Source organism: Homo sapiens, chromosome 9, assembly GCF_000001405.40.
Source record: "Homo sapiens chromosome 9, GRCh38.p14 Primary Assembly".
In the NCBI taxonomy this organism is placed as follows: Eukaryota; Metazoa; Chordata; class Mammalia; order Primates; family Hominidae; genus Homo; species Homo sapiens.
Window position 1 is genome coordinate 512,225 of NC_000009.12, and position 26,628 is coordinate 538,852.

Sequence of the window (26,628 nt, forward strand, 5' to 3'; positions counted from 1 at the left end):
CCAATAGTGTGTGTGTGTGTGTGTGTATGTATATACACACACACAAGATTTTTAAAACAAGGAATTGACTTATTCAGTTTGGAGGCGGGCTAGTCCTAAATACTGCATTGTGGGCCAACAGATGGAGACAAGGAGAGTCTAGAAGAAGACTGAAGGAGGTCTGCTGGAGAATTCCCTCCAGCTCAGGGAGGCCGGTCTTTTTGTTTAGTTCATACCTTTAGTTGTTTGCATGAGGCCCACCCACATTATGGAGGGCAGTCTCTTTTACCCATAGTTACCTGATTTAAATGTGAATCTCATCCAAAAACATCCTCCAAGTCAACACATAAAATTAACCATCATACCCTGCTACGAGCACCTTGGGTAAACCAGTTGGAAGCTTCATGGCCTTTTATGACATATTATCAGAAGTTAATAACTTCCCTTTTGCCAAACTATTGGTTGTAGCACAAAACTTGCTCAGGCTCAAGCAGAGGGGACATCGACCTGCCACTTGATGGGAGTGTCAAAGAATTTGCAGTATAAAATATACTGCCAGTCTATGCTTGAGTTCATAAATTTGACAGTGTCTGTTAACTTCCTGCTAAGGAAGAAGTGGAATTTATATTCCCTCACACCTCTCTTTCCTCTTCTCTCTGCCTCCTGGTTTTTATTAGATATCTTATTATTTTTGCCTTATTATTTTTAGTTGTCTTCTTTTGGTTACCTTTCTGATTTAAAATAAAGCAGTCCATTCTTTACCAGGCCGTAGAGATATGGAAAACTCAGGTTTGTTGAAGGGTATGGTGTTGGGGAGGGACATGGCAGAAAAGCAGCTTCAAATGGTTGAGGCTTGACAATGAGGCTCTTGTTAAAACACTCCAGCCACTAAAAATGGGAATTGCCTATGAGTGTGTCCTCTTTGTGAGCCTAGCAGGTGGCATAATTTGACACTTTTTATTTTTTCTCTTTGGCTTTTAAACTCAGATACCTGTTTGCCTTTTTCTTCCCTACACTTAGCATTTAAATTATGAATGCTGGAAGCAAATGATATTTTCACCAATGAAGAATCTTATTACAGACACATGGTTGAGTTGAGTGTTTGTATGTGGATGTGCTGTCAGAAATAAGTGCTCTCTTGCTTTTTTCATTACCAAAGCAATCAGTTAATTGGAAACAGAGTGTCAGGAGCCCTGTAACTCTGTTGGAGGTGTTTTGGGTTTTTTCTTTTTTTGGATTCATTTAGTTAATACAATTGAGCAATGGGGCTTAGTTTAACTCTCAGAACACATAACTAATCCCTTTTTATAATTATCATCCAAGAAACATATAAGAACCTCTAGTCTTGTTGGTTTGCATTCATTGTATATTGCAGATATAACCTCTTTTGATATTTGTCTTACTAATAAAATTTGACTTGGTTAGTGGCAAGAATGTAAATTTGTGTTTGATATCTGCATAATATTTTTGGCTAAATTTTTTCAGATTTCTGTTGTTAATTCTGACTGGTTCACCCTTTGACCTTGGGAAAAAATAGAACAAAAGCAATTAGAACAAAAGTAGATACTTTGGGAGGCCGAGGCAGGCAGATCACTTGAGGTCAGGAGTTCAAGACCAGCCATAGCCAACATGGCAAAACCCCATCTCTACTAAAAATACAAAAATTAGCTGGGCTTGCTGGTGCACACCTGTAGTCCCAGCTACTTGGGAGGCTGTGGCAGGAGAATTGCTTGAACCCAGGAGGTGGAGGTTGCAGTGAGTCAAAATCACGCCGCTGCATTCCAGCCTGGGTGACAGAGCGAGACTCCGTCTCGAACAAAAGTTGAAATGAAACATAAATACTGTATTCACCTTTTCTCTTTTCTGTCCTCCTCCTCTCCTTCCCTCCTTCTCTTACTCCCTCCCTCTCTTCCTCCCTCTCTCTCTCCCTCCCTCCCTCCCTTCCTCTCTCCCTCCCTTCCTCTCTCCCTCCCTTCCTCTCTCCCTCCCTTCCTCCCTCCCTCTCTCCCTCCCTCCCTTCCTCCCTCCCTCCCTCCCTTCCTTCCTTCCTCCCTCCGTCCCTCCCTTCCTTCCTTCCTTCCTATTCATCTCAATAGAGCTGCTTTTTCCTCTAAAAATAATAGCTTCAGGGTAGCCCTTTTTAGGGGATGGGATTATCCCTGTTATGAGATGGTTCAGCTCACTTTTCTGCCAAATACTCCCTCATCTCCTTTACCCAAATGGAGCCACAGACCAATCTGACCATCTTGGTGTCATATCCCCTTCTAGTCACAACTCTTGCCCCGAGGGTATCCTTACTTCTAATATCATAGATCAATTTAGTCAGTTTTTGAACTTTATGTACCTGAGATCACAGAGCATGTACTCTTTCGTGTCTAGCTTCTCTCCATGTTATATTTGTGAGATTGATCCATGTTGTATGTGGTTATGGGTTCATGCTCATTGCTGTATAGTGTTCCATCATGTGAATATACTGCTGTTCATCCTGTTGTCCATGAACGTTAGGTTTCTAGTTTTGGACCAGTATGAACAGTACTGTCATGAATGATTTTGTATGTATTTTCTGGTGAATATAGGTACACATTTAAGTTAGATATATATCTAGGAGTGCAATTTTTGGGCCATGCAGTTCAACTGGAGTAGGTACCGTCAGAGTGGTTTTATCAAGCGGTATTCCCAGCAGTGGTGTATGAGTTTCAGTTGCACCACAGTGCTTGTTATTGTCTGTTGTCTTATTTTAGCTAATCTGGTAAACGTGTGTTATTGATTCCCTAGATGACTAATGAAGATGAACACCTCAAAAAGGGTTCATACTTTTTATTTTATTGCATAGCAAAGTAGAAAAACAAAGCCAGTTTGACCGGGTGCAGTGGCTCACGCCTGTAATCCCAGCACTTTGGGAGGCAGAGGCGGGTGGATCATGAGGTCAGGAGATCAAGACCATCCTGGCTAACACAGTGAAACCCTATCTCTACTAAAAAAATACAAAAGATTAGCCAGGCGTGGTGGCGGGAGCCTGTAGTCCCAGCTACTCGGGAGGCTGAGGCAGGAGAATGGCGTGAACCCAGGAGGCGGAGCTTGCAGTGAGCCGAGATCGTGCCACTGCCCTCCAGCCTGGGTGAAAGAGCAAGACTCCTTCTCAAAAAAAAAAAAAAGAAAAAAAAGCCAGTTAAAGAATTCATCTAGAGACATTGTATCAGTTCTTTAACCACTCTAGCTTTTCTGTTTCTCTACACATTTATTGTGTTTTTTTGTTTTAGTTTTATGAGAGATGTATTTCAAGGAATTTACTTCTAATAAAAATTTAAAGAACAGAAGTTTATGGATAACTCTACTAGTTCTGAGAATTAAGGTATTTAAAGGATGAAACTGCTCATACTGTATTACTCTTTCAACTTTTCTAATTTGTTAACTCAGTCTATTTATTTTTGCCTTTCACTTTGACATTTTTATAGGAGAATTTGAATCATGTTCTATAGTTTCCAGGAATTAAATTTCCACATAAATGTAAAAGAAAACTTGAGATCCTGATGCACCATTTTTTAAAGGGTTTTAAAAAGGGGAATTGTTAACGTAGGGATAAGCTATATATTGTGAGGCTTCGATGGCAGTGCTGTTAAGTTCTTGTCACTTCTTAGCAAATGAAATGCATAGTTTCAAGGAAACCTCACGTGTGGTTTGATGTGTTTGAGTTCGTTTTGATTTATTTCCTGTTGACATTTTGAGATTTCTTCCTTTAGCTTTTATTCTGGGCACCTATTTTATCCTCTCAGTTGTTTCTTTTTAAGACCTGTATGCCTCTTTAGGAATCCAACATGCAGCTGTCATCTAGCTTTGTACTTCTGTGCATATATTCCATCTTCCCTTAAATATTATTGGTGTATTGCTGATCAGGGGACAGACACAAGGTGGTCTTAAATATCTGTAAGGTACTTACAGGTGTTGTTTGGCCTCTTGGTGGCAAGACTATGTCCTGGGTCAGATTATCTAAAGGGTTTTTGGAGAATTCAGGCTTTTGACCTTGGAGGCAGAATAAGATTTCTCTGCCTCCAGAGACACCAAACTTTTAACTCCTTTTGGAGTTATACTTCAGGAGTAGGAGGAAAGTTTGCTGAATTCCTATCAAGAAAAGGTGGTTGAGAGACATGATTGAAGATTGCTTAATTCATCACAGTTTCTCAGCTCTGGCATGAAACAGTTGGGAGAAGCGATTCAAATAACTGCTGATGAAAGTTGTATATTATTTTTCCTTTTTTGAAGTTTAGGGAATTCAGGGCTAGCTCCCAAATGAGATCATGTGAACTTAGTGATGTTCTTTCTGGTGGGTCTTTATTAGAGTCAGTGGGGAGGGAAGGGGAGCGGTTTTGGCTGTAGAGTGGGATCTGAAAATTGTTCATAATGCTGGGAATGACAGAAATGTGGGTGCGAAGTGCAGTGCAGAGACACTGGCTTGAGGAATAGCAAGGCCTTTTATGATGGGCCCAGGTGGGAGGGGAGTTACTAGGTTATACTTCATAGGCATTCAAAAATACTTGTTGAATGAATATGGATCATTTTATCAGTAGCATACTAAGGCTGTCAGATCTGCATGAAGCTATTGATTCACTAGTTATCATTATAGTGGCTTAGCAGCCCGCTGGGGGGTACCTGTCCTTCAGGTGATTAGGAATTTCATGCCTCCATCAGTGTAAGTTTGAACACTTGGGTTACGAAGAAATTTGTCCTAATGAGGTTTGGCCCCAGATGCCCTGCCAGGTGTGCATCTGAGTGTGGTTTCTATTCTTCATCACCCTCTACACACACACACACACACACACACACACATCCGTCTTGTGTTTTTTGGTGGGCTCAGAGCCACGAGGGAGCTATTAGTTATCCTTCCAAAATTCAGCAAGCTGTTTGTGTTTGTTTTTGTTTTTGTTTTGAGACGGAGTCTCGCTCTGTCACCCAGGCTGGAGTGCAGTGGCGTGATCTCAGCTACTGCAACTTCCGACGGTTCAAGCAGTTCTCCTGCCTCAGCCTCCCAAGTAGTTGGGAGTACAGGCATGCACCACCATGCCTAGCTAATTTTTGTAGTTTGAGTAGAGACAGGGTTTCACCATGTTGGCCAGGATGGTCTCGATTTCCTGGCCTCATGATCTGCCTGCCTCGGCCTTCCAAAGTGCTAGGATCACAGGCGTGAGCCACTGCGGCCCGGCTGCAAGCTGTGTTTTGTCGGGACGGTTTCGATTAGTTTTTAGGCTAATAAAGAACACTGTTTCTTTTTGTTTCTTTTTTAGGTTTATTTTAGCCAACCTGAGGAAACAAAAGCCTACTGTTAGGATATTCATGGGAAAATAGGGAAGCCTTTTTTTTCCTTTAGTGAAATCCTATGTGCCTATAGAGCTTTTTCACACTTTCTAGAGAAGGTAAGCATCTCTTCCTGAGAAAGAGTGGGGATAATATGTCTGGGCTCAATTCTGCCTGTTGTAGGGAAGGGTGTGCCGGTGGGTCACCTTTTGAGGTTAAGAACGAGTAATAAGACCTTGAGGATTCTTTTTTTTTTTTTTTTTTGAGACAGAGTCTCGCTCTGTCACCCAGGTTGGAGTAAAGTGGCGTGATCTCGGCTCACTGGACCCTCCGCCTCCCAGGTTCAAGTAGTTCTCCCGCCTCAGCCTCCCAAGTAGCTGGAATTACGGAGTCCCCCACCATGCCTCGCTAATTTTTGTATTTTTAGTAGAGATGGAGTTTCACATTATTGGCCGGGCTGGTCTTGAACTCCTGACCTCAAGTGATCCACCTGCCTCAGCCTTCCAGAGTGCTGGGATTACAGGCATGAGCCACCTTGCCCGGCCAACCTTGAGGGTTCTTAGCCATCCCCAAATGATCTGATAAAGTAGCCTTAGTACTGTGGAAAAAAGTGTCACTCTTTCCTGCTCTGTCAACTTTGATAGCAAAAGGAGGAAACACTGCTAAAGGGGCTTGAAGTTTATATAGTTTGTGAATCATTTTCTTGGGAACTTTTCAAAAGAAGTGTTGTAAACCTCTGACCTCACATCCAGTTTGACCAGATAACTGTGCTTACCTGTTGAGGCCCATCTGATTTGAGTCCTGGCTTAAAGCGGTTGTTCACATGTTGAAGTCTGTATTTAAGCTCCGCTCCCAGGCTGGGTTGTGTCATCCCGAGCCTCCCCTTCTCCCTCCTTGACCCCCAGTGGCCCAGGGCAGTTTTTACTTTACCGTTTCTTCCTGGCTTTTTACCTATACTTTTCGGCCAGACACTTCAAGGGGATCTGATTCGATGTAGGGGAGGGGTTCGGAGCATGGGTTCTAGAATCGAAACTCTACTATTTCCTGCGAGGTGTATGTTTTCTTTGCTTCTTTGTGTTTGGAAAGAAATATTGATATTGTCATTCCGTGGTGTTTAAGTGTGTAAAGAGGAGGAGCTGGGAGGAAGATGAAGGAAGACCTAGGATGTAGTATTTCCTGACTATAAAACTCCCTAGGAAAAGTCCTCAAAGAGCCACCTTGTTTACTTTAGGCTAGAGGAGCGGAGAAAGGGCGGTGACCCTGTATGACATACAGTGAACAAGAGAGGTGGAACTCTGGCAGGAAGTAAAGGGTAGAGGCAGGCTCAGGGACCCAAGTCTTGTAGGAAACCACAACTCCATGAAGCCTATATGGAGTTTCTTAGCATTGTCTTTAAATTTTTTTTTTTTTGTTTTGAGACAGAGTTTCGCTCTTGTTGCCCAGGCTGGAGTGCAATGGCATGATCTCGGCTCACCGCAAACTCCCCCTTCCAGGTTCCAGTGATTCTTCTGCCTCAGCCTCCCGAGTAGCTGGGATTACAGGCATGCACCACCAGGCCTGACTAATTTTGTATGTTTAATAGAAACGGGGTTTCTCCATGTTGGTCAGGCTGGTCTCAAACTCCCAACCTCAGGTGATCTGCCTGCCTCGGCCTCCCAAAGTGCTGGGATTATAGGCATGAGACACTGCGCCCAGTGTCTTTCAACTTTTACTAGGCACCTTATAATTGTGTCTTTTCCCCCAAAGCCCGCTCTCACGACAGCCTCTGGATATCAAGATCTGTCAGCCTTAACTTAGTAAGTGTTCTGAGTTTCTCTGAACTTCCAACTTCTCAGGATCTGCCACAAATTTGCAAAAGGTGGTGTTGAATATTTTTCCTTCAGAAATTAAGTTTTTAATTCTTGTATATTTTCATAGGAGTAGCTATGAGAGGAGTCTTAACTTTGGGTATTGTTTTTCTTTGGCTTCTAGAGAAAAGTTTGAGAGGTCTAGTGATTTTCATTAAGTTCTTTTTTAAGCAATCATTTGTGAAACTATTCACATCCTCAGATCTTGGTAAGATTTCCATGCAGAGCCTAATACTGAAAAGCTAAAGAAGAACCTGGACTTTTTGGAATGATTTCGACCTCTCATAAAATCCCAGACAATTACATTTCCTTATTTTGCCAGGAGACTGGTATGCCAGTTAAGTTTATAACCTCGATCCTTGTTTTATCCTCCATCAGTTAGAGATTAATTACATGCCTTTGGAATGGTGAGCTGTTGAGCCTTGTCGTCTTTGAACCTACTATTGTTCTCAATAAGGTCTTCTAAAGGTCAGACAAACAAGTCATTTAGATTTTTCTCCTCCCCTTAAAGCATGCATTTATAAGGCAAAAACTTAATGATCATTCATTCCATTCCATTGATCATTAAAACAGCTTTAAAAATGAAGTGGTTTCATTACTCATATTAGTCTAGTTATGCTCAGTGACTTAAAACAATACATTTTAATTTCTAGACTTAATGAGCCACTCCACTCTGGGACATACTTATGGCAGAGGGTAAGAAAAGAAATGACCATAGCCGGGTGCGGTGGCTCACACCTGTAATCCCAGCACTTTGGGAGGCTGAGGTGGATAGATCGCTTGAGCCCAGGAATTCAAGACTAGTCTGGGCAACATGGCAAAACCCCATCTCTACAAAAAATACAAAAATTAGCCGTGTGTGGTAGCACGCCCCTGTAGTCCCGGCTACCTGGGAGGTGGAGGTGGGAGGATCACCTCAGCCTGGGGAGGTTAAGGCTGTAGTGAGCTGTGATCATACCACTGCACTCCAGCCTGCTTGGTAGAGTGAGACCCTGTCTCAAAAAAATAAATAAAAATTAAAAAGGAAGTGACCAGTTCATTCATAGTTATTAACACTTCTGCTTGTGTGTCACTTCTACTCGCCTTCACTTGGCTGAAGAAAGTCATATGGCCAGGCCTGCCAGCAATGTGGTAGAGAAGTGTGGTTAATTCTTCCATCTGGAGATGCTATAAGTCACGTGACAATGGGGGATATAATCCTCTTTCAGGGAGGTTAGCGAATAATTGAAAACAATATAATCTAACATAATGGAAGACTATATTTAACTCAAAAAATTTAATGGCCTGTGTTCTGATTCAGAAATAGTTTTTAGAATTGGTTAAATCTGCACTTTGGGTTTTATTTTGAAAAGATTATGCCTCAGAAATCTGCCTAGATATGGAAAACAGGGTCTAGTTTTTGGACAGGACTGATTAATCTTTTATGAATTGGAGAGCTGTACCAACAACTTGGTAACTTTCCATTAGTTGTTTCCCATGGCTCCAGATCTGTATTTTAATCAAGAAGTTACACTTCTTCCTCTCTTGACTTTTATATCTTGATTTTGCATGCATTGTTAGTATCCTATTGGTCAGATGATTTTTGTTTAATTGCCTGATTTAATATGGTTTTGGCAGCCAATTAACAGTGGATGCTACTGTCAAGAGAAGGGTAGAGATGGGGCCTTTTGACAGAAATAAAATTTATTAAGGCCTCATCAGTCTGTCTTGGTATTTTTCTTTCAAAAATGAAACTGATGAACTGTTGCTGATGTTCTTACTAGGAAATTTCTGTCTTATATAAAAGATATGAAATCGGAATTCTTTGAAGCAAGATGACAAAATAAAGTCATACATTGCTGTGAGGAACAGAACGTTTGTGCCTCAATTGGTTATTCACCATCTACATGTTGAGATTCTTTTTGTGGGGGATCTTGGCCATTTCTGCATGTTCACCCTCACACTCCTTTTTATGAGGTGTGGGGGCCATCTACTTAGGCAAGAGTCTTAGGTAGCTTCTGTAATTTTTATGAGAAAGCTGAAGTCTCTTCTGCTTGGTTGACTTTTAAAAAGTAGGTGCACCAAGCCTCAGCTGGTGTCAGACTGCTGCACTTGGGGTTCTTCCTGAGCTCTTAACCTGCTTCCAGCTCTTAGTGAAAACTTGTTTTTGGGAGATGGTGTTCATTCATGAAATTTCATCAAACACTGGGCACTTGGAATTCTCTACTTTCTTTTCCCTCCAGATTCTTTTTTTTTTTTTTTTTTTGGAGACAGAGTTTTGCTCGTCACCCAGGCTGGAGTGCAATGGTGTGATCTTGGGTCACTTTAACCTCTGCCTTCTGGGTTCAAGCGATTCTCCTGCCTCAGCCTCCCGAGTAGCTGGGGATTACAGGTGTGCGCCACCACGCGTGGCTGATTTTTGTATTATTGGTAGAGATGGGGTTTCACCATGGTGGCCAGGCTGGTCTCGAACTCCTGACCTCAGGAGATCCACCCACCTCAGCCTGCCAAAGTGCTGGGATTACAGGCATGAGCCACTGTGCCTGGCTCAGATTCTTTTATTGAATGAACGTCTACTATGTCTTCAGCTTCCATTATTTAGAAATAGAGAAGAGTTTAAGAAACAGCCACAGGCAGCTCATACATGGTGATCCCTTTTGCCTCTCTCAGTGGCCCTTTTTTGGAGAACTGTTAGAAAAGTTGCTGTAGGCCTTGGTATTAGAAAATGTTGGCACATTTCTTGGGAAAATGTTTGATTTGTTGAATAATGTAAATATTGTAAGAGATTGTGATTTCCTCATTGCTTTGACCAAATTTATATCCCACTGTTAAAAAGAAATGGAGAATTTCATGATGGTTATTTACTAATTTAGGTCTCATTTTACGATTCTGTTTTCCCTTTTGCTGAATTTATTTATTTTTAAATTAAAGGTAAATATAGTTACATCTAGTTTTGAAAGATGCCGCAAGTGTTTTTGGACCAAGGTTGGGTACAGATACATATATCGTGGTTCCTTCATGCAGTTGAAAGTTTTAAGAGGACTCTGTGTGGGGGAGTGCACATACACACAGCTGGATAGCACTCCTAACGCTCCTTTCTGTGCTCACTCCGTCTCTTTCATGGTTTTCACAAGCAGAGCATATGCTCTGTGGCATACTGGGGGTACTCAGTACTCTGTCTCAGTGCTGAGACTTGGAGAAAGGCATTCTTTTTGAGCCCTTTTGCTCATGAGGAAGGGGGTCCTGGTGTACCCCAGGGTTTGTTCTCCAGGCCTGGGACCCACAGTGGGGTTGAACTGGCAGAAGGCAAAGACCATAATGGTTACTTCTGCAGGGACAGATCTGGAAGGGACTTCATGCTGACTTTTGGGTTTTTAAGTTGGTATTTTCTGATGAGTGACTTTGGTATCTCATAGAATTCTGTAAACTCTAATGCACTCCTTAAGCTTAGCAATGTGTGCCTGCCTGTGCTCTCCTGACCACCAGCCTCTGACCTACCCTGGTTTTCACTTCATTACTCCTCCCTTGGTGCTGACAGCTCATGGGAATTAAGCCAGAATTGGCCCAAAAGCTAAATGCCTGCACTGCTGAGCTGTGGTTTCCCATGAAAATGCCTTCCCTGAGTTAATGTTAGCCTTTTGCTTGTATTGATGGATAATGCAAAACATGATCATCTGTAAGGTCTCAGTTCTTGATCTCTTTTCTGTAGACACTCATTCTCGTGGTGACCTCATCTTCTCTCATGGCTTTAAGTGTGGTTGATATTCCAATCATTATCACATTTAGGTCTCCAGCTCTGACTTTTTTCTCCAGTTCCACTCTGTAAGGCCCAACTCCTTCCCCAGTATCTACACCCGAGTGTGTGGTGGCCACCTCAAATTCAACGTCACCCAAACAGAATTTCTTATTTCCCCCAAACTCCTTCTCCCCACAGACTTCTAGTGGTAAAACCCCTAAACTTTGTAATCATCTTCACTCCCCTATCTCATACACCCTACCTTTAATTCAGTAGCAAATCCTGTTTCACCTTCAAATATATGTAGAATCTGCATCGTCCTCCCTCTTTCCACTGCCACCATCCTCTCTCACCTCAATTACTGCACTAGCCTGATACCTGGACTCTCTGCTTCCCTTGCAATCCATTCTCAACAGCCATCTTTTAAAAACAAAAGTCACATTGTGGCACTGCGTAGACTCTCTGTTGGCTCCTTGTTTCTATGGGAGGAAAAGTTTTTACAGTGAACTCCATGGCTGTCCTTGCCCGGTCCCTTGTTATTCTGTAGCCTCTCCTGTGCTCGCCCCCACCTCTGCTCTTCCACAGGTGTCCCTTTTGCCTCCCTTAGGGCCTTTGCACTGGCTCCTTCCTGGGGCTGGAGTGCTCTGTCCTCACCTCAGTGAGGTCCTTGCTCAGATGTCACCATGTCAGTGCTGTGATTATTCAGAGTTATAACCTGTCTTCTCCTGGCACTCCAGGTCTCTCTTAATCCGCTTGGCCTCTTCTTTTTTTTTTCCATATCAAAAATTAACCAGTATTATTATGGAATTTACCTATTATATTTATTGTTTATTTTCAGCATATCCCAGTAGAATACGGGCTTTTCCAGGGCAGGAACCTTTAGCTGGTTTGCTGGTTGGTGGTACATCAAGCTCCTAGAACGGAACTGGAAACGCAGAAGACACTTAAATAGGTATTTGCTGTTAAATGAGCTGCTGATAAGGATTTACTATGCTGTTCAGAACCCATTATGTGAGGAAATATATATTTCAGTTCACTGTTAGGAAAACGTTTATTTCCTTGATGAACAGGGACTCCCAACTTACCTGATTCCCTCTTCTGCTTTGGCTACCAGGATGCCAGGAACTAAGTGTCATGCTCAGTTGTGAAAGTGATTGGCTTCAACTTGCTGGTGAAGTAATACAACCCTTCCCTTCCTTTCCCTTTTCCCCAGCCTTTACTTGATTAAGTCGTTCTGTAGTTTTTTGTTGTTTTTTTTTTCTTGACAATAACTCTGCCTTTTATTGTTTGACTTTTCAAGTAACTTTTTGGAGTGTATGTGTATAAGAATTCAAGTCAATCTTCAAAGGAAGAGAATTCATTTATTACAGAGATTTGTTTATCTTAGCTTACGGCTGGTTTTATTTTAGCTTTGGCCAGGTTGGCACCATTGTTTCAAGTAGTATGTCACTTATTGTGGGGTTTTTTGTTTGTTTGTTTTTGAAACTGTGTCTTGGCCTGTCACCCAGGCTGAAGTGCAGTGCTGCGATCTCAGCTCACTGCAACCTCCGCCTCCCAGGTTCAAGCGATTCTTTTGCCTCAGCCTTCCAGGTAGCTGGGATTACAGGTGTCCACTACGACACCCGGCTAATTTTTGTACTTTTAATAGAGACGGCATTTCACCATGTTGGCCAGCTGGTCTCAAACTCCTGACCTCAGGTGATCTGCTGGTCTTGGTCTTCCAAAGTGCTGGGATTATGGGTGTGAGCCACCGTGCCCGGCTCGTTACTGGTTTTGATCAGTGTTCTGAAATAGTAATTTTGGGTATGCTGTCTCTCTACAGGCTTCTGTTTGATTGAATTTCATTTATACAGGTATTAACATGCTTGTAAACTACTATTGTCTATTGCTTTATTGCTTTGGTTAGTCAATCCCAAACTCTTGCTGCCTTTTTTTTTTTTTTTTTTTTTTGAGGCAGAGTCTCACTCTGTCACCCAGGCTGGAGAGCACTGGCTCACTGCACCAATCTCAGCTCACTGCAACCTCCGCCTCCTGGGTTCAAGCCATTCTCCTGCCTCAGCCTCCCAAGTAGCTGGGACTACAGGCATGCGCCACCACACCTGGCTAATTTTTATATTTTTAGTAGAGACGGGGTTTTGCCATGTTGGCCAGGCTGGTCTCAAACTCCTGCCCTCAGGTAATCCACCCACCTTGGCCTCCCAAAGTGCTGGGATTACAGGCGTGAGCTACTGCTCCCAGCCAACTCTTGCTTCTTAAACCCAAGGACCCTGATTTCTGACAGAATATGTATACATACGTGTGTGTGTGTGTGTGTGTGTGTGTGTGTGTGTATTTATTTGAGACAGAGTCTTGCTCTGTGGCCCAGGCCAAAGTGAAGTGCAGTGGCATGATCTTGGCTCACTGCAACTTCCACCTCCCTGGTTCAAGCGATTCTCATGCCTCAGCCTCCTGAGTAGCTGGGATTGCTGGGATGCGCCGCCATGCCCTGCTAATTTTTGTATTTTTTTAGTAGAGATGGGTTTCAGCATGTTGGCCAGGCTGGTCTCGAACTCGTGGCCTCAAGTGATCTGCCTGCCTCCGCTTCCCAAAGTGAGGCATACAAAAAGCCGTAGAATTTCATATTTTTGAGCTGGCCAGATTTGTCAATGGCTCTAATAAGTGTTGCATTTTTATTTAAGGAGGCATGTGGTGATGTTAGCCCTGTGATATAGGAGAATAAGCAGCAAAGGTTGGGCTGGTTTCCCTGCTCCCCTGGCTGCCGTTTCTCCATTAGAACTGGAATTGGGGATTTCACAAGGACCTCTTGGAAAACTTCACAGTTAGTTTTAAAAAAAAATGCATTTGTCACCCAGAGGATCAATATTTTTCTAAAATTTCTAAAATAAAGGATCAGTTTGTTTCTGAAATTTGGTTACCTGAAGCCATTGACAAATTAGTTGTTTCTTATTCAGGTTACTTTTAATTGAGTTGTGCATGCAAACCCACATGTATCCCTCTCTGCCTCTGAGGAGAATGGGGCCTTTCTTGGAGAACACAAAAGTAGGAATTCTGATTTTATTTTGTGATCTTAGTCACTTTACAATTATAAAAATTTTGGAGCTAATGAGAAACCTGAAAAATTCTGAAGTCTTCAAGGAGTGTGATCCTGGTGCTGTCTCTCAGGCATTTCTCCCAGAGAACGGGACGGCAGAGCAATGACTGTTCCCCAGCCCACAGGTAGGAGCTGGTGGGCAGCACCAGCAGCAGTAGACCTAGAAGTCTTAGACTTAGATGTGATTTGAAATATGGCTTTTATTATGGGAGCAGCACACATAAGACCATCATTGGTTCTCATATGGGAAAAACCCTTGAATATTGGCTCTAGGACAGATTTTAAGGCTGGGTGTGGTGGCTCGTGCCTGTAATCCCAACACTTTGGGAGGCCGAGGCTGGAGGATTGCTTGAGGCCATGAATTCAAGACCAGTCTGGGCAACCTAGCAAGACCCTTTCTGTACAAAAAAATAAAAATTACAAAAAATTATTTAAATGAAATTTAGCAATGTTTTATGTACGTGTCTTCTCATACTTCAAAAAGTCAAGTTGTTCTACAAAACCGTCCATGAAAACAGTAGCTTTCTGCCCTGCTTTTCCCACCTGATTCCCTCTCCTCAGAGGAATCTCTCATCTATCTTCTGATGTTGAACCATAAGAAAATGCTGATATTTGACTGCTTTAGATCTGTGAAAATGACTGTATCTTGAGAAAGCATGCTTATCATGTCATTTCTTGATTTTTTTAAATTCAATTTTGGATATTTACTTTCCTCACACTGTGGAAGATGAAGATATAACTCTTATGACTTCCCCCAACACGTCTCTTCTCCTGCTGTAATATTAATATGATTTTTGTTTGATTAATATATAATGTTTATAGTATTATTTAGACTGGAAATAATTCACAGCCAAGACATGTAATTTAAATATTTCCTTCCTCATACAGCTTTTGCCCACCCAGAGTTAATCATTGTTTTGAGTGCTTGTTTTAAGTACCTGTCACTGACTCATTCCCAAACTGAAGCCTAACCTTCCTTTCTGTGTGTTTGCACACCTCAGGGTAGCTGTCCATTCATCCTTTCTTCCTGAAGGCGTCCCTTCTGAAGTTTCCAGGCCGTTCTGTACCTTCTCTCTGTTTCTCTTCCCTGGATACTATGGTATCCTCCTCCTTTGTGGTTTCTTTTGGTCTCTGGTTTTTGTGTGTTTTTTGTTTGTTTGTTTGTTTGTTTTTGAAATGGAGTTTCACTCTTGTCGCCCTGGCTGGAGTGCAGTGGCGCGATCTTGGCTCGCGGCAGCCTACGCCACCCAGTTTGAAGTGATTCTCCTTCCTCAGCCCCTCAAGTAGCTGGGATTACAGGCAGGCGCCAACACACCCAGCTAATTATGTATTTTTGGTAGAGATGGGGTTTCACTATGTTGGCCAGGCTAGTCTTGAACTCCTGACCTCAGGTGATCTGCCCACCTCTGCCTCGCAGAGTGCTGGAATTACAGGTGTAAGCCACTACACTCGGCTGCTCTCTGGTCTTGGTAGAGAGCATTGGCCAACAGCTTCTGCACAAGGTTACAAGGGAGATAGTCTCCTTGAGATTTGGCATATCTAAATTGTCTTTTTTTTTTTTTTCTTTTACCTTCACACTTACTAGTTTGGCCAGGTGTACAGTTCTAGTTTGAAAGTCCTTTTCCCTCAGAACTTTAAAGAGATTGTTCCCTTAAGTTCCAGCTTTTTATTAAAAAAAAAAAAATAGAGTTTCCCCTCACTTCTCTTTAAAAGTTTTTAGGGGCGGGGCGCGATGGCTCATGCCTGTAATCACAGCACTCCTGATCACAAGGTCAGGAGATTGAGACCATCCTGGCCAACATGGTGAAACCCTGTCTGTACTAAAAATACAAAAAATTAGCCAGGCGTGGTGGCGGGCGCCTGTATAGTCCCAGCTACTCGGGAGGCTGAGGCGGGAGAATGGCATGAACCCGGGAGGTGGAGCTTGCAGTGAGCCGAGATCGTGCCACTGCACTCCATCGAGCCTGGGCAACAGAGCGAGACTCCGTCTCGGGAAAAAAAAAAAAAAAACTTTTTAGGATTTTTCTTTTTGTCCAAGTATTCTGATTGGTCTTTTTGCATTCATTTTTCTGGGCACACAATGGCCTTCTCAAACTGGGAACTTAATGTTTTTCAATTATTGGAACATTTAAAAAATTATATTTAGATAACTTTCCCTCTTTTCATTGAATTTGCATTTTCTAATGTTGGTGGTCCTTCTGGGCAATCCTCTGATTATCTTACCTTTTTCTCTCCTATTTTCTATGTCTTGGTCTTTTTATTCCATTTTCTGGTGGATTTCCTCAGCTTTACCTTACAACCATTTTACTGAATTAAAAAATAACTTTTTTTTTTTTTTTTTTTTTTTTTTTTTTGAGACGGAGTCTCACTCTGTCACCCAGGCTGGAGTGCAGTGGCTTGATCTCGGCTCACTGCAGTCTCTGCCTTCTGGGTTGAAGGTTGAAGCAATTCTCCAGTCTCAGCCTCTCAAGTAGCTGCGTTACAGGTGCCCGCCACCATGCCCAGCTAATTTTTGTATTTTTAGTAGAGACCTGGTTTCACCATGTTGGCCAGGCTGGTCTCAAACTCCTGACCTCAGGTGATCCAGCCGCCTCGGCCTCCCAAAGTGCTGGGATTACAGGCATGAGCCACCATGCCATTTTCAAGCTAATATGTCTCAATTTTTTTTTCTTTGAGGCAGGATCTTATTTGTAAGCCAGGCTGGAATGCAGTCTTATGATCACTGCTCACTGCAGCCTTGACCTCCTGGGCTTAAGCAATCATCCCACCTCAGCCTCCCGAGTAGCTGGGACTACAGGTGCATACCACCACGTCCAGCTAATTTATTATTTGTTGTAGAGATAGGGTCTCACTATGTTTCCCAGGCTGGTCTTGAACTCCTGGACTCAAGTGATCCTCCTGCCTTGGCCTCCCAGAGTGCTGGGGTTACAGGTGTGAGCCACTGTGCCTGGCCCATGGCTCAGATTTAAAAGATGTAAAAGGTGTATAGTGAAAAGCCACCCACTTCCTGTACTAGCTACCATATTCTCTCTTTACAGGCAACTGGTATTCCTCCTTCCAGAGATAACTCTGTTAATATATATATATATACACACACACACACACACACATATACACACACACACAGACACACACACACATATATACACTTTTTTTTTTTTTGAGACGGAGTCTTGCTCTGTCGCCAGGCTGGAGTGCAATGGCGCCACCATGCCCAGCTAATTTTTGTATTTTCAGTAGAGATGGGCTTTCACCATGTTGGCCAGGATGGTGTTGATCTCTCGACCTCGTGATCCACTTGCCTTCGCCTTCCAAAGTGCTGGGATTACAGGTGTGAGCCACCGCGCCCGGCCTCATACATATTTTTAAAATGTGTGTATATGATCATATTCTCTCTCCCTGTGAAATCACAGATGATAATAGACTTCATATATTGTTATGCATCTTTTTTTCATAGAACCATGTGTCTTCAGACTGCTCCATGTGGAGGTATGGGTTTCTTTTTAAAATCATTTTAAAGAGCAGCATAGTATGATTTTAAACTCCATATTTTGTTTAATCAGTTTCCTATTGATTTGCTACATCCAACAATGCTGCAAGGGGTAACTTTGTACGTGTATTATGCTCACACGTGATAGTGCCATGTGTGATGAATATGGAATTACCAGGTGAATGCATATGTGCATTTGTACTTCTCACAGATGTTACTCCAGCTGCCTTTCATGGAAGCTGTGCTAACTTATGCTCTCACAGGCAAGGCATGAAAGCACTTGTTTCTTTATATCGTTGCCAGTACAGTATGTTATGACATTTCTTAATCTTTACCAATCTGTTAAGTAAAAAATGGTATCTCATCTGTTTTTAATTTGCATTTCTCTTAGGAGAATGAGCATATTTTCATAAATTTATAAGAGCTGTTTGTATTTGTGTTTCTGCGAACTGTTCATATCCTTTGCCATTGGGCTGTTACCAAGTTGTATGACATTATACCTAAGGGAAATAAGCCCCTCATGTGATAAGAATTGGAGTTGTTTGCAGTTTGTTCATCTTTTGATTCGGGTTATATTACATTTTTCCATGTTGGTGAATTTATTAGCAGCTTATTTTAAAGTCTTTGGATTTAATATCATGAAGAGAAAAAGGCGTTCCCCATCTTAAAATTATTATTTTTAAAATGTCCAGGGTTTCTTTTGGTACTTTTGTAGTTTCAATATTTTTATATTTAAATTATTTATCCATATTGAATTTATTTTAGTACATATGGATCCAAGTTTACTTTTTTTCCCAGATGGCTACTGGTTTTCCCAGTCATTTATTAATAGTCCATTTTCCCTCTGACTAAATCCCCCATGCCTATGTGTCTGTTTCTTGACTTCTGTTTCTTGACTTCTGTTGTGTTGCTCTGCCTAGCTCTGTGATGTTGAGCTATTCATGTTTTAGTTGTGACACTATTCTAATTGTTAAGAATATGTTTGTATTAGGGAGGATTGGGCTTGTATTAAATATTTTATTGTTGATGTTAATTGTCAGTTTTGTAGTGGTATTTAAAAATGAATTATGTGGCTGGGAGCGGTGGCTCATGCCTATAATCCTAGCACTTTGGAAGGCCCAGGAAGGTGGAGTGCTTGAGCCCAGGAGTTCAAGACCAGCCTGGACAATATGATGAAACTCTGTCTCTATGAAAAATACAAAATTAGCCAGACGTGGTGGGGCATGCCTGTAGTTCCAGCTACTTGGCAGGCTGAGGCTGCAGTGAGTCATGATTGTGGCACTGCACTCCATCGTGGGTGACAGAGTGAGACAACATCTCAATAAAATAAAATAATTTTAAAAAATGAATTATGCAAACTTTAAAGGAAACTGATCATATTTTATGTAACTCAAAGAATGTTTAGGGACCTAGGCTGGTAAAGGTCAGAGTTTTCTAACTCAAGGTTTGCTTCCTTTTTTTTTTAAATCCCTCCAATGAGGGGGAAACAGATGCTAAAACAATAGTGAGAAGTACTTAATTGGCTGGGTGTAGTGGTTCATGCCTATAATCCCAGGACTTTGGGAAGCCCATGCAGGAGGATCACTTGAGGCCAGGAGTTTGAGACCAGCCTGGGCAACAAAGCAAGAACCTTCCCTCTATAAAAAATACCCAGATGTGGTGGTGCGTGCCTATAGTCCCAGCTACTGAGGAGACTGAGGTGCGAGGGTTGCTTAAACCCAGGAGGTGGAGGCTGCAGTGAGCTGTAATTGTACCCCTACACTCCATCCTGGGTGACAGAGTGAGACCCTGTCTCAAAAAAGTAAAAATAAAGTAGTACTTAATTTGGGATCAAGATCGGCTTACAAATCAGAACATTCAGGCTTGAGGAAGAGAAAAAGCAATTAAATAGGTCAACAATTGCAAAGCAAAACTCAATTTGAGAGTTGGATAAAGAGATTTGATTGTGGGGACTCTGTCATTTGAGATGCAACTCTTGGTCCAGTCTCAGGTGATGAAAATACAGCATCAGTAGTTAACTGGAGTACAGCAGCATTGGTGCCTTTCTTTCTGTGAAAAAAGTCTTTATTTGCCTAAGATGTAGAAAAGAGACTGTAGTGAACCAGAGACCATTTTATTCTGAACTGTGGCAGAATAAAACGCCTTCTGGCGTCTGTCCTCACTGTTACTCTGAAATAGCCCATATATCGGGAAAAAATGTGGCTGCTTCTGTGTGTGTGTGTTGTGTGTGTGTGGGCCAGATTGTTGTTGTGTTACATTGTGATACCAAGAGAGAAGAGAACTTTTGTCTAGATGCTCACCTGAGACATCCACCTGGCCTCCAAGCAGCATGCACATGAGTGAGGAATTTCAACAACTTGTTTTTTTCCTGTAAGATAATAAGTGTAAAACATTCATTGGACATGAGCACAAACACAGAGGCGTTATAGACTAGACTGTAAAATCGTCTGTGGGCCACTCTGAGCCCCTGTGGTCAGTCCTTTCCTTGGATGACTCTAAAGGGGACTTGGGCCCCACTTAGGCATAACGGTGAACAGAGATTTAAAAGGAGTTTGAGAGCATTCGTGTACAGAGATTTAAAAGGAGTTTGAGAGCATTTGTCTTTTTTTTTTTTTTTTTTTTTGAGACAGAGTTTCACTCTTGTTGCCCAGGCTGGAGTGCAGTGGCACCATCTCGGCTCACCGCAACCTCTGTCTCACTGGTTCAAGCGATTCTCCTGCCTCAAGCACTTTTTTTTTTTTTTTTTTTTTTTTTACCATTTCAATCATTTTGAGTGTATAGTTCATTGATGTTAAGTATGTTTACATTGTTGTGCCACCATCATCACCATCCATCTCCAGAACTCTTTCATCTTCCTAAATAGAAACTCTGCACCCATTCAACCCTTAACTCCCCATTTCCCTCCACTCCCTCCAGCCCCTGGTAACAACCATTCTACGTTCTAACTGTTTTATTTTTAAATTTAGACATATAGTTGATACTCAGAAGCTTAACATTCCTTATATGAAAGTCTTCACCAAGCTACTTGGCGTGAGCATCTTATTTGCCCTTTAAGCCTTACCCTGGGAATAAAATATAGCCTTTATCACTGTTTTTGGAATATCTTGGAAGTGCGTAAAACTGCTTCAGTTTATTATGTAGAAGTGCATTTCCAGATTTCTGGAGTGTGGATCGAAGATTTTCATACCAGCAGTAGGGTCTCAACCTTGTTTTTCTTATCTCTTGGCAAGAAAGCAAAGCTGGCCATTGGGGTATAATAAACCTTGTGTACACAGCTGCAGGAGGGAACAGGGAGGTGGCTGTGCTTGGAGGCCGGGTGTTTTGCCGACGATAATGGGGCATCTCTGGCACCATGTTGCTGGTCGGAACAGTTTTGGAGTTGGATTTTGTCCTGCAGTGATGTCTTTGAAGAGGAAAGCACTTTTGAATATTTGCATTGCTTTGAAGCCAGTGCCATGGAGATATTGTGACTTATTGCCAGTCAGAGGCAAAGCTGAGTGTGTGAGGTTTTGAACAAAGGTTGTTGAAAAAAGGAGATAATCATTAATTTTTTCAGTAAAATTCATTGAACCCCAAGGGCAATTTGGAGGGGTCATAGCTGTTTTTAGAATCTGTTGCTAATCACTGTATATCGTAGATATTAAGCCTAGGTTAAGAGCATTAGTGTGGGTACAGAGTTTAGATTTGCCAGTTTGTGACTTTAGGCATGTTTAACCTTTCTAAGTCTGTTTTTCCATCTGAAGAATGGACATAGAGAAAATTTATCACTGGGCTTTTTGTGGGGGACAGATGAGGTAAGGCATAATGCATTTAAAGTGGCAGGCACAGTCTAAATACTACCTAGTGCTCCTGCACAGGCATAGAAAATGGAAAATTGTTTATATATTTTACCCTCCTCCAAAACACTCTTAGACCATCTGATTTTTATTTGACTTATCTGAATCCTGAATAGTTTTTACTGGATCATACTCTGGTATCTGGACTGTCCCTGGTTTGAAGGTGGTGCTGCTGGGTGAGAAGCCAAGGATGAGAGAGGCTGTGTTTTGGAGGCCCAGTCTGTCAAAACTGAGGTGGCATTTCTAGTTCCTGATAGAGTGAGACAGATGCAAAGGTCATGGGAGCTTTGAACAGTTTCTATGCATTATGTGTTGTTTTTCATCTTCTGGAAGTGGGCTGGAATTTGTTTTCAGCAGCTAAGTTCATTATGTAGTTGCCTCTAAGCCATGCCTCCCCTTTTCCATGTTTGTGAAAAGCAAAACAAAACCACCAGGCACATTATCTTTTACGAGGACCTGGAGATTGACTAGCTGACACCCCCAGATTTCACATTTATGTTGAGATAAGGAGAATAATGTAAGTCACCCAGACTTTTTGTCATTCTGCATTTTTATTCACAGGGATGAACAGAAGCTTGCAGATTGGGAGAAAGGGGGGGGCAGAACCAGTTGTTTTCAGGTGGACCCAAATAATGCATCTGCTTTGATAACTGCCTATCTCGATTTGCTTGGAAAGGGCATAGAGTAATAAATAGTTTGTGGGAGTGTGAAGAATGAGCCTTTAGACTGACCCAACTTGTGGAAATTCAGAAAATGCAGAAATGTACGTTCTTCCAGCTTGTGAATGTTGAACAATGGAATTGTTAGAAGAACTTTTGAAACTTGTTCTTTTTTTGAAAGTATTATTGTGCTCGGTTGGCTACATGTGCTTTGGTCTCAAAAATTTGTGCCTTAATCACATTGCTGGGGAGGCTGTGGATTTCACTATCAACAGAAAGTAATGTAAGATGTGATATCTTTTCAGCAGGACCTAAGGAGATTTTCTCGAAAGAAAAGGGGAAAATGCCGCTCTTAAGCAAAAAATCTGGACCATGTTGGCAGACATACGTCTTTGAAACATACCAGCAGAGAATTATTTAATCATTTGCCCCTTAGTTTTATCTTGATCACTCCTAGCGTGATTTTTTCCCCCTCTTAGTTATGCAGCAGCCTACTGGCTGACATTTAACTATTGATTGTTCATCCTGGGGAATGAATTACTGTGATTTATAGTCAAGGGTACAGATGTAAAGAGACAGAAAGGATCAGATGTTTCTAGTGCCTTTTTTCTTCCTCTGATGGCTTCTCCCAGAAACTTGATAAAAGCACCAACACTAAAACATGTTTACAATAAGAAAGCTGTTTATTCATCTTAAGTAGAAAATTCTATAAGTTTATGTAAAATTTTGCCCATGTGGGAACAATTAGTCTTTTAATTTGAGTTGTGTATTGTAATTCCATGGATGGAGATGGGTGGAGGTTGGGCCGAGGGGAAGCTGAGGTAAGAAGCCAGACCAGAGAATTTAAAATGATGTCTTTCTTTGAGGATGCCCCCTTTGCCCCTCCTGCTGGGCCTCGCAGCCGTGGGATTGGCCACATCACTTCCTGTCCAAGTTGGCACTGAGAGTGGCACAGTAACTCTGCCCAGTGTTCTCAGACTGCAGTGGGCAAGTTTCCAGCAATAGAGTCACCCAAAGAAACAACGCAGCCTCCTTTTTTTCTTTCTCTGTTGCCTAGGGCAGTTTTCCTCAGACCTCAGTACCTATGTCCCTTGCTTTTGGAATAACCCCATTAGGTCCCCAAACCTTGCCTTTGATGTATGTGGCTTCTTGAGGATCCCCTACATTTGCATCTGTTTCCTTCCCTTATGCAAAGGCCCTACGTCTTCCCTGGGAGAAGAGTCCTCGGGGGCTTTCCTGTGGGAGAAAGGAAGGATCTATTCCTGCCCACACTTCTTTCTCTCCAGATAGAGAAATAGCTCACATTTTTGGTGCCTACTCTGTACTGGGCACTGTACTGTGAGTTTTCATGTGTGACCTCACAGGTACTATGATCATCTCCAAGTGACGTTCAGAGAGGTGGTCTGCCCCAGGTCACAGGGCTAAAATTAGTAACATGTAAGGAAAATGGCTTTACTCTCAGCGTGAGATGAAACAGACAATACAGTACACCTGCTGAGTGACAGAGTTGTCCCTGAGTTGTTAGGGCCTTTGCCCGCCTTGGAGCTCCACTTGCTTGGTGCACAGTAGGCAGCAAATGGGCTGTAGAATCATGGTATTTGTGATTTCCTGTGTCCTTGACAGTTGAGATATTCTCTAAGGCTATTTATGTTCTCTCTACCATGCTCGTCACAAGCAGTCTTCTGGGTCCTCACAAGCAGTCTTTATTGTTTATATTTCTATTAACAGGTCTGTTCAAGGCAACGTAAACCTTTCCTACCATGTTCCTCAAAATTCTTCCAAGCTCCTTCACTACCCAATTCCAAAACCACTTCCACATTTTTTGGTATTTGTTATAACAGCACCCCACTTCCAGGTACTAAAGTCTTTTAGTTTTCTATTCCTGCTGTAATAAAACCCACAAATTTCATGCTTAAAACAGCACGTGTGGGGCGCGGTGGCTCACATCTGTAATCCCAGCACTTCAGGAGGCTGAGGTGGGCGGATCACTTGAGGTCAGGAGTTAAAGACCATCCTGGTTAACATGGTGAAACTCTGTCTCTACTAAAAAATATAAAAAAAATAGCCAGACATGGTGGCGGGCACCTGTAATCCCAGCTACTCGGGAAGCTGAGGCAAGAGAATCACTTGAAACCCAGGAGGCAGAGTTTGCAGTGAGCTGAGATTATGCCACTGCACTCCAACTTGGGCAACAGAGCGAGACTGTCTGAGAAAAAAAATACACAAAAGCACACATTTTTTTATATTACAGTTGTGTAGATCAGAAGTTGGACACAGGTCTCACTGGAATAAAATCAAGAAGTCAGCAGGACCAGTTCCTTCTGAAGGTTTTGGGGAGAATCTGTTTCCTTACTGCTGCAGCTTCTAGAGGTTGCCTGTATTCCTTGGCTTGTGACCCGTTTCTTCATCTTCAAAGCCACCACTGGCAAATTTAGTCCCTTTTACGCCTGACATTTCTTCTGGCTCCTCTTATGTGATCCCATCTTTCTGTCTCTGACCACAGAAATAAAAGACTTTTTAAAAAGACTCATTAGATTGGGTCCATCTAGATAATCCAGGAAAATCTCTCCATCCCAAAGTCCTTAATCTTAATGCCGTCTGCACAATGACTTTTGCCATGAATGTAACATAGTCACAGGTTTGGGAATTAGAAGTTGGGCACCTTTGGGGGGCGCATTTTTCTGCCTGCCACACATGATAAGGTGTAGACACAATACAGTTAACTCTCTTAGTTCGCAGTCGGCACCCCTTTAAGTAAAGTGTGTGGTTTCTAATCAAGCATTTTATTCAGGGTGCATCTGTTCCACCTGGCTGGCAGCACGCACCTTGCAGGTCAGGTGTGAGATGAGCAAGACCCATTGGAAGACTGGAAGCTACCTCCTTCTCTCTTTTAGGACAAGGAAGCGAGAGAGAAGCGAGGAGACCACTTGAGTTGTGACTCTCCTGCTTATGGTGAAATTAAGAACTAAAACTAAAACAACAGGAACCCTTTCATAACGGAAATACTGAAGTATAAAATGAAACCACCTCCTAAACAACTCTTTTTCCTTTGAAAACAAAGCTAAGCTGCGTTGATGCTTGCACCTCTGCTCTTGCGTGGGAAAATTGGACCCCTCTGTGACATTTGGTATGTTACTGAGCAGGGTTCCCTTGGGGAGGACGAGAAGCCTCCTCTCCACTTGACACTTGGAATTTGATACCAGTTCCTGTCTGACAGCTGGTTAGCCTGTCAGGCCCTCACAAGTTAAATCTTGTCTCAGAAAATAATTTGCTAGAAGATCAAAGCATGGATGGGATAAATTAATTTTTCAACAAGCCACAGGTTTGGGATAATTGTCTCTCAAGTGTTGCTAATGTCTTTGATAAACAAGTAATTTGGGGGGGCTCTTTTTTTCTCTTGAGATTATAAATCTTGATTGATTCATATGTTGAAAAAGAACTCTGAAAGCTTGCACCTAAGATGAAGCCCTGGAATAACCTGAAATAATAATAATAGGTATATTTCAACACCTGTGCCATTCGGAGCAGTGATTCTCAACAGGTGGGGGTGGGAGATCGATTTTTGCCCCCCAGGGGCATTTGGCAGTGTTTGGAGACATTTTTGGTTGCCATGATTTTGGGGAGGGGTGCTACTGGCATCTAGGGAGTAGAGGCCAGAGATGCCCAGAATAGCCCACAACAAAGAGTTATAGAATGTCAGTAGTGCTGAGGTGGAGAACTCTTGATTGAGAAAGGAGTGTTTTCTATTTTACTTATTTTCGTGTGTCTTAACACTATTCCTGGATTTAATTTCTTTGAGGATAGGGTCCATCCTTTTATTTTCTCACTCAACACAACAAGTTGCCCTGAGTAGGCTCAAACATTTATTTACTGTTGATTCCCCTCTCTCTTGTTAAGCTATTCATCCTTTTTTTTTTCTGTCTTGGAGCAGAGCTATTGAGGGCAGCACTGAAAAGCAGATGGTAGAGCTGTGGCAGAATCAACATGGTTGGGAGAGCGGAAAGAACACAAGCTCTGGACTTCTCTCAGCCCCTTCTTTCTCGTCTGTAAAAAAAAAAAAGTTAATAATAGTGCCCAACTTAGGATGATTGTACTTGAGAAAGATCGTGTTGCAAAAAATGGGGATGTAGTAAGTGCTCAGTAATGCCTTCTCAGGCAGCTGAGCAGGAGACTGTGTGCAAGGCCCTCTATCTCAGGGCCCTGTTTTTTTGTAAAAAGTTGAGTAAAGGAGGGGCAGACATCTTACACATTTCAGAATTGTTATCAGTTCTCCAGGAAGAAGAGGGAAAGAAAAACATTTATAGCATTTCAGTAAAGATTACTCCATGATTGACAAAACAATTTTGAGGATCCTAAGAGGCACATTCTGCCTCAGGCTGGAGCAGTTTTTAAAACTAAATTGACAGCAACTAGTTCAAGTTGGAACAGTCCTAACTTAATTATAGATACCTGCAGAGGTTCCTTCAAACAGGTGGGTTTCAACAGCGTGGTGCTATCTAGCAAAAGCTATTGTTTGCTTAGTTATTTGTTTGAGAGTCAGCTTAGAACATAAGGAAGGAGTCAGAGTTGGGGTGGAATTCTGTCTCTGATTGGATCAGAGCCTCCATTTTCCTAATTGTAATATGGAAATAATGATTGTCCCTCAGAGGATGGTTATAAGGGACAACATATTTGTTACACATTTGGCATAGTAAGTACTTCATAAATGACACCTATAAAAGT

The 26,628-nt window shown here is 42.2% G+C and overlaps 1 protein-coding gene across 35 annotated transcripts in view, besides 1 other annotated feature; it reads left to right on the top strand.

The window, feature by feature from the left end:
• The window catches only part of KANK1 (KN motif and ankyrin repeat domains 1), a 275,809-nt gene that overhangs the window by 41,930 nt on the left and 207,251 nt on the right, over window positions 1-26,628 (top strand). For 15 of the 35 annotated variants that reach the window (XM_047423041.1, XM_047423067.1, XM_047423060.1 and 12 more), the window contains one exon: window positions 11,669-11,782. The exons of the other annotated variants lie outside the window; for them this stretch is intronic. The gene's annotated coding sequence lies outside the window, so the exon portion shown is untranslated. The remainder of the gene's footprint in view (window positions 1-11,668; window positions 11,783-26,628) is intronic. 35 annotated transcript variants of the gene reach the window in all.
• Window positions 24,990-25,202: a silencer, noted in NCBI's record as "fragment chr9:537214-537426 (GRCh37/hg19 assembly coordinates)". NCBI's record gives its function as "represses an EF-1alpha promoter that drives an FKBP-Casp9 reporter gene in an ReSE screen in HepG2 liver carcinoma cells {active_cell/tissue: HepG2}" and the evidence as "EXISTENCE:reporter gene assay evidence [ECO:0000049][PMID:32094911]".